This window comes from Homo sapiens, chromosome 9 (assembly GCF_000001405.40).
Source record: "Homo sapiens chromosome 9, GRCh38.p14 Primary Assembly".
NCBI lineage: Eukaryota > Metazoa > Chordata > Mammalia > Primates > Hominidae > Homo > Homo sapiens.
Genome location: NC_000009.12, coordinates 116,212,537 through 116,228,927, shown reverse-complemented (window position 1 = coordinate 116,228,927; position 16,391 = coordinate 116,212,537). Strand labels below are relative to the sequence as shown.

Here is a 16,391-nt window from a genome sequence, read left to right as displayed (position 1 = left end):
CAAAATGTTGTCAGGTGGCAGAGACACACATTCTCTGTGACAACCCAAAGTGGGTTCAGTTTGGGTGGAAAAATTACAATTGCAGATTTCGAGAACTTCCTAAAAAACTGGAGCTTGAACAGGCTCCAGGGAACCTCAGTGAGGATGCACATAGAGGGGATTCCTGCACTTGGGGGGAGCCCGGGCCAGATGACCCCAGGCATCCCTCTCAGGTCTGACAGCCTGTGATTCTGTGAGGCTGAACTGAGGGCTTTTCCCAGACATCCCTCTTGCTTTACATTCCAGATGGATTTGTTTAGACTTCCCAAGTTTGACTCTCATTTTTATTTTAAGCTACTTTAAAAAATAAAGTGCAGTGCCGTCGTTTTTCAACTTCACTTTCCTCTCTGATCCTTCCCCCTTGCTTTATTCTATCTCTGGCTTTTTCTTTTCAACCTTCTTTCTAAAAATATAGAGGATAGCGGAGGAGTTCTCACTGGTGTTCAGTGAGAAGACTGATTCCGCTCCCTCTGATGCACTGGTGTAATAGTGTCCTCACCCAGTGACTGCTGGCATGAGCTAACCTGCAGAAGAGCAAGAGGGACTGGGTGGGGGCAGGGTCTATGTGTACATCCCTGAGTACCAGGGAGGGGGAGATGAAAGACTAAGAGGAAAGTATGGAGCCTCTGCCAGCCTGGTTCTGAGGCCAAGTGACAAAGTGTGACAACAAGCATTTGGCAAAAGGTATTCTTCTCTTAATTTCAATGATGATGTAAGAAAGCACAGAGATCATTGGTTCCTTGGTAAGCCTGAGAGACAACCCTGAGCAGGGAAGAGTCTGATAGTGGGTGGAACCCATAATAGTGGCAATCATAAGGCACTTCCTTTATGTGTCTTACAGGTAAATAGATCCCAAAAAGAGGGTATATAGAAGAAATTAAAAGGAATAGTTGCAACACATGTGAAAGTGCTCTGTATAGTCTAAGAAATAACAGAAGAAGAATCAAAGACCACTGATGCCTTGAAGCCCCAAAATATTTGTATTGACTCTAAAGTGGCCTTGTTTGTAACTACAAGCAGTTGGGGTCTGAAGGATATATAAATACCCCCAAGACACTGTGTTTGTATCAGGTGTGTGGCCTTGGGCACTTCTTTAATATCTTATTGTCTTTGTTTCCTCATTTGTAATATGAGAACAACATGTTAGGATAGTGCAAGTGCTCAAAAAGTATTTGTCAAATGGATGAGCGCTTGACTACTAACCTTGCAGGATGATGTTACTCAAATGAAATGATACATGGCAAAGACCCATAAAAATAATAAAACCCCATATACATTGAAAGAGCTGTTCTTTGCACACTCCTCCTGTCAATGAGCTTCCAGAAGGCTGGCTTACCTTCTGCTTCACGAGGGCTCCAGTGTCCTGATGGGCTGCAGGGCATTGGGGAGGAAGCGTTGGAAGCATACTGCACCAGGATTCTCCCTTCCAGGCAAAGATGACATGCTGATCCCAATTCTCTAGGAGGCCAAGGAAAGAGGGAAAATGCACCGACTTAGGAACAGTTGAATGAGCAACTGATGGGACTAGGCCAGAGTCAATGGGGCAGAGGACACAACAAATCTGTGTTTCCCCCTTTCCTGCCTACATATGCCAAGGCTTCTGGAAATAACCGTAAGTGAAATGCCTCCCCATTGCCCAGCAAGAACCTCGTTTGAGCCTAAGTGGCTTCTGTTCTGATGATGCATACATTTCTCTGACTTTTAGCAGCACAAAGTCAACAGGCTGAAGTCTCACCACCTGCAATAATTTTAATTTTATCAGGCATATAAAGCTCCACTGAGGATTTGCAATGTAGTTATGAGAAAATCTCTTGCTCCATTTCGTTCTCAAAGTTTACTCCTTTTACAATATTTATCAGGTACCTACTATGTGCCAGACACCATCTTGTGTTTTAGGCATTAAATATGAAGATGGCATGGTTCCTTCTTCTGAAAATAAGAGGGCTGGATTAAATGATGCCTAAAGAACCATCCAGCCTTGACATTCTGTGGATGGATGAGTCACTCCTCGATTTTACAGTCAAAAGCAGTTTCTCTACCATGCCATCTAATTCATTGTAGCGGCTTTCCAAGGGGCTAGCCAATCCCTCAATGGGACCAGTCCCAGAAGTGGAATATTATGATGGCTTCCCCTACCAAGTTGGGTCTTGTGTATCTGGATTCAATCTTCCTTTGGCTATAGAGTCTCTGGGATCCTACTCATTTTCCAGATTTGGCATCTGTTTATGAGGCAGTTGTGGAGAAGGGAGAGGAATGAGTCCTCTTCTCCTGTCTTATTGTGAACTGAAAACTGCAAATCTGAGTGACCTCTGCAGAGGGACTGGAAACAAAATCTCGGGAAGACGTCGAGAAATGTCCCAGCACAACCCATTATTTCTCAAAGTGCAATGGTCCTGATGATAACTCTTTCATCATTCCTGGAAGAACTTCTGTGCTTTGGCTACCTGAAAGGATGCAATGGAGAAGCCAGGTCTGAAGCCTTCCTTATGGCTTTCCCCTCACAGGGACGTTCACTATGCCTCTGGGCTCACACAGTCAGGAACCGTGTGCTTGTGAGCATCAGAGTGTGCTGTTTCTCCCCGTTCCTCCTCCACACAGCGGACAGTAGATCATCCCCAAACCTCAAGATGAACAAGTCATGCCTCTGCTTACCTCTTTCAGTGATTTTATCCCCTAATGCCCTATAATGTGGTATTCAATGCTCTTTCATACTATCCTCTGCTTCACTCTAGCTTTGTTTCTCTCCATGATAAGCTCTGTCTACCTATCATGTTGCGTCATGTTACCCACATCCCCTCTGCAGACTTTTTTCACTTGGCTGATGTTTCTCCTCCTTCAAGTTCACCTTTGACATCATTTCCTCTGTGAAAACTTTTTTTGACATGCAGGAGAGTTTATCCTAATAGATTGTGAGGTCCTTGAGGACAAAGTCAATATCTAATAACCATCTTTTTATTTCACACAGCACAGCACACAACTTATCTTATAATGTTGGTCAGTATAAGCAGTTGAATGGATGGGTGTATGCATGGATGGATAGATGGATGGATGGATGGATGGATGGATGGATGGATGGATGGATACCAGTCACTTAGGCATGTGCTAATACTCATGGCTAACTTAGTGCAGACCTTCAAATTGTAGGTTTTGCATTCTCAGCCTTATCATTGTAAATATGAAACCATATGTAGGTGGAAATTTTGCAAGCACACTAATATTAATATTCAGTGATAAGAGAATCATTAAATAGCCCATGGTTAATATGCTTAATGGAATGCCAAGCAGTTATTGCAGAAATATTTATAAATATTATGCAACTTCATGGAAAATGTGTAAGCTATAATATTAAATGAAAAAGTAACATCCAAAGCTAAATCTATAGCAATATCTCAATGTTCAAATAACACTATGAAACAAAATATTATCAGCAGCAATTTCTGGGCAATGGAATATAGGATGATTGATCCCACCCCCTATTATTACTCTTTCTGGTTTTCTAAATTTTCTACATATTTTAAATACATGAGTTACTCTTGGAGTAGCAATAATAACAATTATACAAATATACTCAAATGCAGAAAAGTAGGAGTGGAGAGAAAGGCTTCCTCAGCACTGCTAATGGAGGCATTCCCTTAGGATGACCACAATCCACGCATAGTGGCTTTGAGTCACATGACTGGCTTTAGACTGACACTGGGGTTACAAATGTTCTGGGATGAATTCAGGAACCATGCTGACCTTGATGGTCATTCATTATTTCGTCTATGTGCTTTAGATGTTTCATTGTGGGTGATACACATAAAGCCACCTGAGTTTCAGTGAATTCTTGATACATCCCAGGCTCCCAATAAATACTTGGATGAGTGAACAAATAATCATCCAGCTGAAGCAAATGTATGATGTCCTGTCCTACACATCTAGGAATTGTATGTGTTTCCTACCTTTCACATTCACATTGTCTTCATGGATACCTATATCTACACATAAACACACACAAACATACACAATGAAATCATAGACATGCAGGATACCAAAGCTGGGAGAGCTCATCTTTCTTACTTGGGTTTCATGAAAATTAAAGCTTAAAGCTCTAAGTATGTGCTGTCCAATATGGCACCTATTAGCCATATGTGGCTATTTAAACTTAATTTAATTAAAAATAAATAAAATTTGAAATTTGATTCTTCAGTCACACCAGTCACATTTCAAGCCCCAGTTGGCTAATGGCTATAATCTTAGTACTGATATAGAATATTTCCGTTATTGCAGCAAATCCTATTGGACAGTGTTTCTCCAAGGCATCCATTGTATATAATGAATTAACTTGTCTCCTATGAAACTAAAATAGTACTTATTATATACCATCTTTGGGAGAAATGAGGAAATAGTTACACAAATCATTTTCCATGTCTTAAAATTTAGAAGAGGAACCTTGGTTGAGAAAGCCTAGAACATCTTTGGCTTACACATCAGAAAACTGAGGCCAAAGGCAGAGGGAATGGATGAGGTCGCAAAGACTTCAGACCCAGGTTTCTTGGTTTTCAGTCCAGTACTATTTCCAATATACCATGGCCAATTGTCAGATAACTGAAACAACCCAGTCAACACGTGTTTGCAAGACAGATAAAAATAAAGGAGTTAGGAAAACCAGGGGTGGCCTTGAATTATTTATTCAGTTGCCCATGTGTGAGGACACAGGCTGTGGGAGGATCTGAATATGTTTTTTTAAGGGAAACCCTTGTATTCTCTTAGACCACAGATGTGAGAACAGCAGGAGGACATGAGGATGGCCAGGGGCGAGAGGTTGGCATTGATGGATGTAGTGGAAAACACCAGAGGCTTTGCAGGGAAAGGGAATTTTTAAGAAGCTAAACAGCTCTGGAAAATGTTGCACAAAATGGGAGCTGATGTTTCTTGAACATAGAGTGTGTGTGCTTGGCATTTCACCGTTATCTTGCTAAATTCTTCACAAAAGCCAGGTGACGTGGGCAGGATGAGCACATTTTGATGGAAGAAGGCCCAGAGGATCAGAGGTGAGATGGCTTTGCTCAAGGTCCCATTGACTGGGAGTGATAAAGCTGAGGACGGGAAATGTATGACCTGGCATTAAAGCTTGTATACTTTCTACTAAGCCAATTTGCATGAGTATAAATTCCATCTGTATGGGAGAGTGATATACGTTAAAGACAGTTCCATTTCTTTACAACAATTTATTGAATTTGTGGACTGACTTCTTTTAGCCATAGACTATGGTCAACGTAGCTGCTAACCCTAATTAGATATGTTTTGGAAATGTCAGTTTTAATTTAACGTATGATAACTATGTTATGAAATCTTAAACTGAACAGAATAGCTACTATATGAGCCTCAAGAACCAACTGACTATAGGTGATTAAAAACATATTGATTGAAGCTAAGGACACTGTGTAATAGAGACATATCTCATTACACAACAATTAACCCTCAAATAGGTTTCCAACAATCAGGTGGTATTTATTTAATGGACAGTAACTGCTTTATGAAATATAAATTAAATACATACACAGGAAGCTTCATTTATGAAACTTCCATTTTCAAGTGGAATGGAGGCCAAGGCTTGACCAAAAGTCTGATACTTCTCATCACCACAGAAAAAGTAAATAAATCTATGGCCTGCTGGAAACCTCTGAAGTGTCACACGAGGTTTCCCAAACCCAGCTCTGTGCTCCCAGTGAGGATGGCTGGGGCAGGGGAAGGGGAATTTCTACAGAGCATAGTAAGTGCATTTCCTTCCCTGATGATCACATTCGCCAGCTACCAAATTTAGGTTCTAGACTCAGGTACTGATGGTAATGTGAAAAATTAATGCCCACATTTTATGTGGTACTGTGATCAAATAGGTTTCAAAAATTTTTAACATTTTATTTTTAATTGACATATAATGATTGTGTATATATTCATGGAGTACAGTAAGATGTTTTGATATATGTTTACAATGTGGAGGGATTAAATTGGGTAAATTAACAAATCCATCATCTCTCACACTGTTTTTTGGCAAAAACATTTGAAATCTATCCTTTTCACAAGTTTGAAATATACAATGCATTATCATTTATTAGAGTCACCATTCTGTGCAACAGATCACTAAAGCTTATTCCTCCCATCTACCTGAAACTTTATGCCCTTTGATCAACATCGTCCCTTTCCCCACTCACCCCACCTGCCTCTGGTGGTCATCATTCTACTTTCTACCTCTATGAATTCATTTTTTTTAGATTCCACATATACGTGAGATCATGCAGTTATTTGTCTTTCTGTGCCTAGCTTATTTCACTTAGCATAATGTCTTCCAGGTTCATTCATTTTGTTGAAAATGACAGAATTTTCCCGCTTTTAAGGCTGAATAGTATTCCATTGTGTCTATACAGATGCTCCTTGACTTACAATGGGGTTAGGACTCACCCAATAAACCTATCTTAAGTTGAAAATACGGTAAGTTGAAAATGCACTTTTGACTTACGATATTTTCAACTTACAATAGGTTTATACCATCTTAATACTCAAAGCAATGCTGAATACATATTACTTTTTTGTCATTGTGAAGACAAAAAAGTGGAAGTCAAATTATCGTAAATTGGAGACCATCTGTACACCACATTTTCTTTACCTGTTCATCTGATGATGGACTCCTAGGTTGCTTCTATATTTTAGCTATTGTGAATAATGTACAGTGAACATGGGAGTGTAGCAATCTCTTTGGCATACTAATTTCAATTTCTTTAAATATATACACAGAATTGGGATTGCTGGATTATATGGCAGTTCTATTTTGAATGTTCTGAGGAACCCCCATACTATTTTCCATGATGGCTATATTAACCTACATTCCCACTGCCAGTGCACAGGTGTTCCCTTTTCTCCACACCCTGGCTAACACTTCTTATCTTTCCTCCTTTTGGTAATAGCCATTCTAACAGGTGTGTGGTGACACCTTCTTGTGGTTTTAATTTGCCTTTTCCTGATGATTAGTGAGGTTGAGCATTTCTTCTACATAGCTGTTGGCCATTTGTGTGTCTTGAAGTGTCTATTTAGGTCCTTTGCCTAATATGTCTTTGACACACACACAAATGCAGACAAATACACTTGTAAATGAGAATTTCTTGCTTCTTTTTGTGGCTTTTTTTTTGCCTTGCGGGGGGCAGTGTAATGCCTTTTCTCCAATTCTAGTTCTGAAACAACTTAATGAAAGCACATACGAGTCTGAGATAACACAATACAAAACAAGAGCTGAAGCCCAGTGCCTGCCACTTTCCATGACCCTCTGGTCACCTTTCAGCCTCTTTCAGCTCCAATTCTCTTTTTATCTAGCAGATGAGGAAGATGATTTGTTTTGTACAAGGTTACCAGAAAGATTAAATGAGATTCTGTATGTAAAGCATTTAGTATAGAATCCATCACATAGTAAGCACTTGATAGATCCCAGCAACTACAATAAAGTAATATTAACTAATTATTAGCATGGTTATTATTTTTACCATCATTAATATATCACCATTACTAGATGAAGCATCCCAAAGAAGGGCTGGGAGTAGAGGTAATACATTAATCTTCCCTGAATTATGGCAAAATTCCAAAATAGATGCAAATACCTTGGTCTATTTTCATGACCCTTTTAAATCTGGTCCCCTTAGAGCTTGAGCTCCTCAAGGAGTTTATATGGGGGAAAGATCACAAGAGACCACTTGATTCAGGTCTCCACCTTCAAGCCACTGTAGTATCATTAGACCCAGTTTTCAGGGAAGGGAGAATCAGGCTCAGAGACAGAAAGTGACTTGCTCAAGGCCATGTGGTTAATTAACGAACAGTCAGGGCAGCAGAATAGAGGTACCTTGTGCCTCAGTTTATCATTCCCTGGTCTTATAAAATGCTACCTTTAGTTCTACAAAATAAAAAAAAAAAACATTTGGTGCAAAAATTATGTTTATATGTCATATATGTATATGCATTCTTTTTTCTTTTTTTTTTGAGACAGAGTTTCGCTCTGTTGCCCAGGCTGAGATGCGGTGGTGCCATCTCGGCTCACTGCAACCTCCGCCTCCTGGGCTCAAGCATTCTCCTGCCTCAGCCTCCCATGTAGCTGGGATTACAGGCGCGCACCACCACACCCGTCTAATTTTTGTGCTTTAGTAGAGATGGGATTTCACTGTGTTGGTCAGGCTGGTCTCGAACTCCTGACCTCATGATCTGCCCACCTTGGCCTCCCAAAGTGCTGGAATTACAGGAGTGAGCCACCATGCCCGGCCTTGTATATGTATTCTTATATGTAAATATGTACTTATATACACACGTGACACACATAAATATATATATCCATATATAAGCATATATAATATGATACAATATAATTAATATAATATAATATATAATATAATATAAATGTTTTTGCCCAGGCAATCACAACTCCTGAGCTCATGGAGATGAGACTATTACCTCCATCCCAGAAGAGGTCTGTAGCAAAAGAGGTTTCCAAGTTTCTAATAACAAAGTGAATCTAAGTACCCATTCACTTAAAAATATTTATTGTTATTTATTTGTTTCTATTAATGACCATTTATTTATTCCCTGATCCCAAATTTACAACATGCTAGGTGGTGGAGATACCTTTTGAACAAGAACAAGAAATGCAGTAAAATCCCTCTCCAAGTCTGCTTCCCTTCCAAGTTTCCTTCTTCTTGGCAGGAGAGAGAGAGAGGGATCAACACTACACAGGGCACACTCACCTTTCAAAGAAATGGCCATCTATAGGTGGGAACCACTCCAGTGTCACAGAGTCCGTTGTGTGGCCCAGAACTTGGGGGGCGAGGGCAACAGGCGCTGGTTTCCTGGAGGGCTGCCAGCCCTGGTAGACCAGGTCCAGGTAACAGTGCATTCTGGCGACTTGATTGGGCGTGAAGGAGTCCGTACAGTCGTCATCTGCAAGCAGGCAGAGGGAGAGATAAGCACCAAGCCGCAAGGCAGGCAGGCATATGAGAGAGTAATGACGGCTCCTGGCGGCCCAAGAGTCAGCACCCAAGTCGTTCCTTGCCAACTCAGGGCTGGCCTCTTCCAGCTCTCAAGAGTTAATGGCCTGTGAACAAATTAGTGTAGTCATCACTTCTGGAGACAGGTGAGAGGAAACAGGAGGGAGGGAAGGGTGGATGTAACTGAAAAAGTATGGCTGAGACTGGGAAGAGAGCAGCCCAGAGGTCACGGCAAAGGACACAGGCAAGATGAGCTATTTCCCCTATTTCCCATGGCCCCCAAATCCACTGGGCACTAAGTCAACAATTCCATTACTCCCTCCCTCCCTCACCCCCCACTCAATATCTCTCATTCATTCATTCATTCATTCACTTGTTTATCCATTCACTCATTCATTGATGCACTCACTGGTTCCAACTCATTCCTTCACATTCTTTCATCCACTCATTCATTAATTTCACTATTAACCAATGTGCTGATATTACCCTTCAAACAAACCTTCTGAGTGTCTACTACATTTCTGCTCTGTGCCCAAGGGCATGGAAAGATGAAACTTTAAAAGTTCCTGCCCATGATGAGGTACAAGTCTAGTTATGGAGTCAAGACCAGTCCAGTGTATGAGTCAAGGTTGTTACAAGGCTACTAAAGTCTGTGATGTCAATCACTGATAAAGCGAGGAAGACGGCATGGGTGGGTGCAGGGACAGGCAGGCGACCAGGAAGGCTTCTAAAGAAGGAGATAGTTGAGGCTGATCAGATTGCACGGCTAAGATTGGAAAAGAAAGGAGAGGGATTGCAGGAGAAAGTGCTGCATGACTACAGAGGCATGGTGCCTTAGGCAGAGAGCACAGGCCAGGGAGTCAGGCAGACCTGGGAACAAACCAGGGTAGTGTGCATGCTGAAAATATGAGTAGTAACATCTCCCACTCCATGCTGCCATTGGTGCACTGTGCTTTAGACACGGTAAACCCCTTTCCTTCTCTGGAGTTTTGGAGTACGCACTACTATTTTCCTTATCGTACAGAAGAGGATATTAAAGCTGACAGAGGGTAAATAATTATTTCAAAATCACAAAGCTAGGGATACATCTGGGGTTTGAACCCAGGCAGTCCTGACTTCAAGGCCATGCTTCTGATCAATATGAGAACTTCTTTTCAAGCATAAATGAGACATTGTATGGATATAAAATCCTGCAGGTGGTTGATAAATGGGAGTTGAGTCTGAGGCTAAGGGAGCTTGGAACACAATCTCTCAGGTGTCTTTAGATCTAAGGACCTTTGATCCTAATCTCTCTTTTCCAGGGTGTGACCTAAGACCTGGTTCTGAGGGAGAACGCTTGCATTTCTCCCTCCAACAGTTTTATTCAACTGCCCTAGGGACAGGGCAATGCACTGTTTTGGCTTAATTTCCAAAAACACCACTTCCCAGAGGTGTCCACCTGGTCAGGGAGCCTGCAGCTGGGCCCCAGACAGAGGAGTACAGGGCTCTTCCAATCTTAAAATAAACTTGCTACTGGGAATCCTGCAGCATATACTGGTTTCTTCTTATCAAACAAACATTAAATACATTTGGGCAGGTGCTGGACAGCTATATACATGGCTTTGAGAATCCAGCTTAGGGAAGGTGCAGGGTGTGAGGGAGGTTCTATGCAGAAGCTGCCTTAAATCCCCTTAGTAATTTTTGCCAATCTCCTTTCCAGCACCTTAGGGAAGTCTTTAACACATTTGGAGAAGTGGAAGAGCCCAATGTCTCTTAACAAACACAGTATAGTGAATAACCGAGTAAATCTCTCTCAAACCCAGATCCCACCATGTAACTCCTGAATACCAAACATTCTATGGCTCCCTATTGCAAGGAAAAAGTCCTCAGACCGAAAAGGGCCAGATAATTGGACACTTTTTTCTTTGTTGCCATGAACTTTGTACTTCATCTTGAAAACTTTGGAAAAGCCACCAAATAGGTTACATGCAGGAGAAGGGCATGATGGCTAAGGGAAGAAGTATGGCCACGTGACTAGATTAGTGCACACAGAATCTGGAGTCAAATGGACAAGTGATTTTCTGCCCCCAGTGCCTCAGTTACCCCATCTGTGAAGTGAAGACAGTGATGATAACGCGATTGCTCATCTCAAAACACAGCCAAGGTGCAGGGGTGTGGGGCACTAAGAGCAATGCCTGCCCCATGATAAATGTTAGTACATGGGAATTGGAAATAGTGTGTGTGTGGTGTGTGTGTGTATGCTTGCGTGTGCTCATGTATGTGTGAGTGTTAGAAAACTGGAAGCAGGAAAAAAATTCAGGATATAAAATATGCATTCTCTTTGATCTAACAATAAGGAATTTATGGATTCAAAAGATAGATACTCTTGGGTAAACAGGGGTAAAATAGACATACAAAGATGTTTCTTGAAGCATAATTTATAATGGTGAAAATATTAGAAATAGCACATCTGTTCATTCATAGGGAAATGGCTGTGTACTTTAAGGCACAGACATAGAACAGAATACTAATCAGACATGACCAAAAAATGAGACAACTTGAAGACTCAGTTCCCTCGTGCATAAATTGGGGGCATTTAAATAAACTCCAAACCATGAAGTTGTGAGAATTCAATGAGCAAGGGCACAAAAAGCATTTCTCAAGATGAATGACACTGAAAAACAGTAGGTTTTTTCCTGTATAAACATCTACTTTACTTGCTTTCCCCCAACAAAAAAGTGTATTTTTCTTTTATAACTTAAAATGGAACCATTTTCACATTTGTTGATAAAAATAAGTTTGAAAAAATGGGTAGGTGATGGAACCTAGTAGGGAGACAGGAATGTATTTGAACTTTAAAGCTGAAGTTGAGGCTGGGCACAGTGGCTCTCTCCTGTAATCCCTGCACTTTGGGAGGCCAAGGTGGGCGGATCACGAGGTCAGGAATTCGAGACCACCCTGACCAACATGGTGAAACCCTGTCTCCACCAAAAATACAAAAATTAGCTGGGCATGGTGGTGCACGCCTGTAATCCCAGCTACTCAGGAGGCTGAGGCAGGCAAATCGCTTGAACCTGGGAGGCAGAAGTTGCAGTGAGCTGAGATCACACCACTGCACTCCAGCCTGGGCGACAGAGTAAGACTCCGCCTCAAAAAATAAAAATAAAAAAAAAGCTGAAGTCGAAATCTATCCCAAGGTACATTACTTGGAGACTTAGCAGCTATCAAAATCTGGGGAGAGGTACCAAAGGGTTTTCATCTATCACAAAAGATCTGCCTCAATTAGCTAATGTCTAGAGTCAGTCCCACTTGGCTTCTTTCCCCCCAGTGCCTCCCCTCTTGATATCTGTGGCCACTTCATCTGGTCTCCAGGAGTGGCCAGCTCATCTTGTTCTTCTGTCTGTATCTTGTCCCAAAGCAGAAAGAACTTCGGGACTTCAGCACTGGGAAGCCTATGCCAGTCCCCATGCTGTTGATACGGTACCCTGGGTTTGCTAACTGAATCTTCCTCTCAAGAACAAATGTCCATCTGTGGCTGAAAGGGCACACTGCATGGAGGTTCAGGTCATGAATACCATGCCTTCACTCCACTTAGGACTTTGGACACAATGCTGACCCCCCGTCAGCCACATTTTCACCCACCATAAAATGAGGAATAAGATGTTAGCTGTCTCATAAAGCTGATGAGAGCATTTAACAAGCTAACTAATGTCTAGTGAATGGATAACTAAGTTGCCTTGTGTGAAACTCTCTGTCTTTTTGATGTTTTTAAAAATAATGATAGTAATAATAGTCATAATAATAGATGTAGATAATAATTTTATAATAAAAACTTCACTGTAGAGTATCTGGAATATGTCAAAATGTTACAAAAAATAAACATTACCCTGAACTCATTACCTATAGATAATAAAATTGATGTCTAAGGTATATGTGTGTATATGTATGTATATATATATGTGTTTGTATATGGATGTAAATATCTACAGTAAATTTCTATAATTCTTATCATCACATACATATGTACAGGTCTTACACTATATATATGGCTTTCTGACCTTTTTCACATTAAGTAGTCAATGAATAATCCTACTAATCATCATTTACTGAGCACTAATTATGATACCAAGGACAGTTCTTTTTTGTTTGTTTGTTTTTTAACTTTCATTTTAAGTTCAGGAGTACATGTGCAGATTTCTTACATAGGTAAACTTGTATCAAGGGAGTTTGTTCTATAGATTACTTCATCACCCAAGTATTAAGGCCAGTACCCGTTAGCAATTTTTCCTGATCCTCTCCCTCCTACCACTCTCCACACTTCAATAGACCCCAGTGTGTGTTGTTCCCCTCTGTGTGTCCATGTGTTCTCATCATTTAGCCCCCACTTATAAGTGAGAACATGTGGTGTTTGGTTTTCTATTCTTGCATTAGTTTGCTAAGGACAATGGCTTCCAGCTCCAACCATGTCCCTGAAAAAGACATAATCTCATTCTTTTTTGTGGATGCATAGTATTCCATATGTACCACATTTTCTTTATCCAGTCTATTATTAATGGGCACTTAGAACAACAACAGTTCTAAGTGCTTCACTTGTACCATTACACCTACAATCAGGCAAGGCAAGCATCCTTATCATCAATGGTATTAATGAAATAACTGAGGCTCAGAGAGGAGAAGTAAACTGCCGAAGATCAAAGCTGGGCACCGAACATTCAACTTGGGTCTCCTCACTCCAAATTTCATGCTCTGAACCACCATGTTATTCCACTTCTGTTCATGTCCTTCAAACATCTTCTCTGTCATCTTTAGTGGCCCTATAATATCCTATCACATGAATACCTTGCAGTTCACTTCAGCAATGCATTATCTTTAGGCTTGTAAGCAGTTTCTAATTATTCAAACATTTTGTTTTCTATACCTGGCATATAGTGAATGCCTAATAAATATTTAGGAAACAAATATCATTAAGAACATTCTTACGGTTAAATCTTTAAGCATACCAATTGACTTATTTGCTTTGGATATATTCCTTAGAAGTGGAATTGCTGGGTCAATCTATGTGTGCATATTAAGAAGCCATGACACACAGAAAGATGGGGACAGGACACTTGCTCCTGTAGGCTAGAGAAAGCCTGGCTTCCTGCAGTTTTGAGGACCAGAGTGTCCTCCTCCAGGAACTCTTGTAGCCTATTATCTCCAGAAAGTGGAACTGGGTCTGCTACTCTTTTATCTGTTGAGTTTTCCAAGAGTTACCCAAGAGTTCAACATAACTATACTCCTCTGGAGCTCTGTCCAGCCTGCCTACTGAATTAGGCTTCCCCCCATCAACTGCCTGGTGCCTGCTTGATCTGAGCATTTGTGGCCCTCTCAACCTTCCCCACAACCAGAAAATGAGGCAGATACTTACTAGTTAGTAACACAGGCTCTGCAGTAAGAAACACTTGAGTTTAGATTTCACCTTTGCCTTGTTTTATCTTTGTGATGCTGGGCAAGATACTTAAGCTACCTGAACCACATTTTCTGCATCTGTAAAACTTGTGCACCTCCTTGGGCTACTGTGGGGATTCAATGAGACAAGCCTATGAAAAATTTCATACAGTGTCCGGCATGTCACACGTACTCAAGAATTACTGCAGGCCTGAGCTAACCAATATGGTAGCCACCAGCCACATGTGGCTATTCTGATTTAAATTAGTTAAAATAAGATTGATAATTCAGGTCATTAGTCACACTAGTTGTATTTCAATCGTTCAGTTACCACATGGGTAGTAGAGGTCATGGCTACCATACTGGCCAACACAGATATAAACTATGTCTATCTTCATAGAAAGTTCTGTTGGCAGTGCTGCACCACAAACCTTTACCCTACCAGTGATCAGGCCTGAGGAAGAAGCACCCAGGAAGATAAAGCAACGAGAAGAAGTTGACCCAGCAATGTCTTCACCCAATTATCTTGATGGAGAGAGCTCCCATGCATGGCTCTCCATAGCCCTGAGAACCCAGTCCTGTTCTGCATTTTGAATTGCATCCAGCTGCTTTTGTCACCTCATCTATCAGAAATCCCAAGGAAAACAAACATTTCAAAGATCGTGGTTGCCTTGAATATGCTTTTGTGGGTGTAAGTTTGTTATCGTAGCTCAGTGAATTAGTTCTGCTGTTAATGGGTCACTGAGCTGAGGGGTTCCTTTAAAAAAAATAGTAAATCAATCACCCTTTAGATCTGTACAAAGGGGAAAAAAAAAGATTTAGTTTATGGGGGTCTGGTAGCTAGTGGCAGCTCCTAGCCCCTAAGAGGCCGGCAAACTTCCAAACTTATGTTATTGTTTATTTTCCATGTGTGTTGAGCTGGCCAAGAAAAGGTGCTATAGAAATGGAACTTTAGCAGTGTTGTATGAGGGGATGGGGCACCGGATGTGGGATGTCAGCTTGGCTGGGAATGGGAGCCCAGTGGGAATCTGCTTTTCAGGAAATACCCAGCACCCTGGTCTTTTTTGAGCACTCAAATCTAAGACTCTTTATGGTACCAGAGGTGGGTTATTGACACTTCAATTCAGATTTGGACTGCAGGAACCTTATACTGGAGAGGCCCCCAGGGGTCATCAGCCCAAATGGACAAGCAGAAAGAACCACTGGGGATCACAGAAACCTTTGGGTTCCAGCAGCAAATTCCTCTCTTCAAATGCAATGAGGCAAAACCTCAACAGAAATGTAAAATAGTCAGAAAGGGGGTGTGTTTTCCCTGGCTTTAGCAGGAATGAGAGCCTAAAGCCCTACTCATATAGCCACCAGGGCAGTTGCCCTGAAGCATCCCTGTGGAACAGAGTGTAAAAGCCACCCAGGTTGCTCAATTTCCCCACTCAACCATCAGCTAGCTCTCTTTAGAAGAAATACAAGAGTAAAAGAGAAAAATACTTGGAGTCAGATATGTGACTTGGTGCAAATGATTTCAGTGAGCTTCAAAGCTGTCATCTGTAGAGTGGGGATAGTTCTGACTCTACACATTTGTTGTGAGAATTAAATGAGAGAGAGCATATTAAAGGCCTTTCTGGACAATATTTTGTTACATGAGTAGAAATATTGCTTTTGATAAGAATAAATTTTATATACCTGTTATAAGAGAATTTATTCATTTTCCTCCTTCCTTCCCTCCAGCCCTCCCTCTCTCCTCCCTTTCTTTCTTTACTTCTTCCTTTCCTAACAAACATTTATTAAGCACTGGCCCCTGTGCTGACTTCTGAGAATAGAGTGATGTATTAGATGCAATCTTTGGCTTGATAGAATTTGCTTGTTCTAGTGGGGAAAAAGACACTAAGTTGAGTATGGTAACAGAATTTGATGCTGGCCTGCCATGTGCAATTGTGTGCATTGTGACTA

The 16,391-nt window shown here is 41.2% G+C and overlaps 1 protein-coding gene across 3 annotated transcripts in view; it reads right to left on the bottom strand.

The window, feature by feature from the left end:
* The window catches only part of PAPPA (pappalysin 1), a 248,531-nt gene that overhangs the window by 173,394 nt on the left and 58,746 nt on the right, over positions 1–16,391 (bottom strand). For 2 of the 3 annotated variants that reach the window (NM_002581.5, XM_017014784.3), the window contains exons 5-6: positions 8,799–8,991; positions 1,376–1,497 (exon numbers count right to left, since the gene is read on the bottom strand). In NM_002581.5, coding sequence (NP_002572.2) covers positions 1,376–1,497; positions 8,799–8,991 — 315 coding nt within the window. Of the gene's footprint in view, positions 1–1,375; positions 1,498–8,798; positions 8,992–16,391 lie in introns of those variants that run through there. The other variant, XM_006717129.4, reaches the window with a different exon arrangement.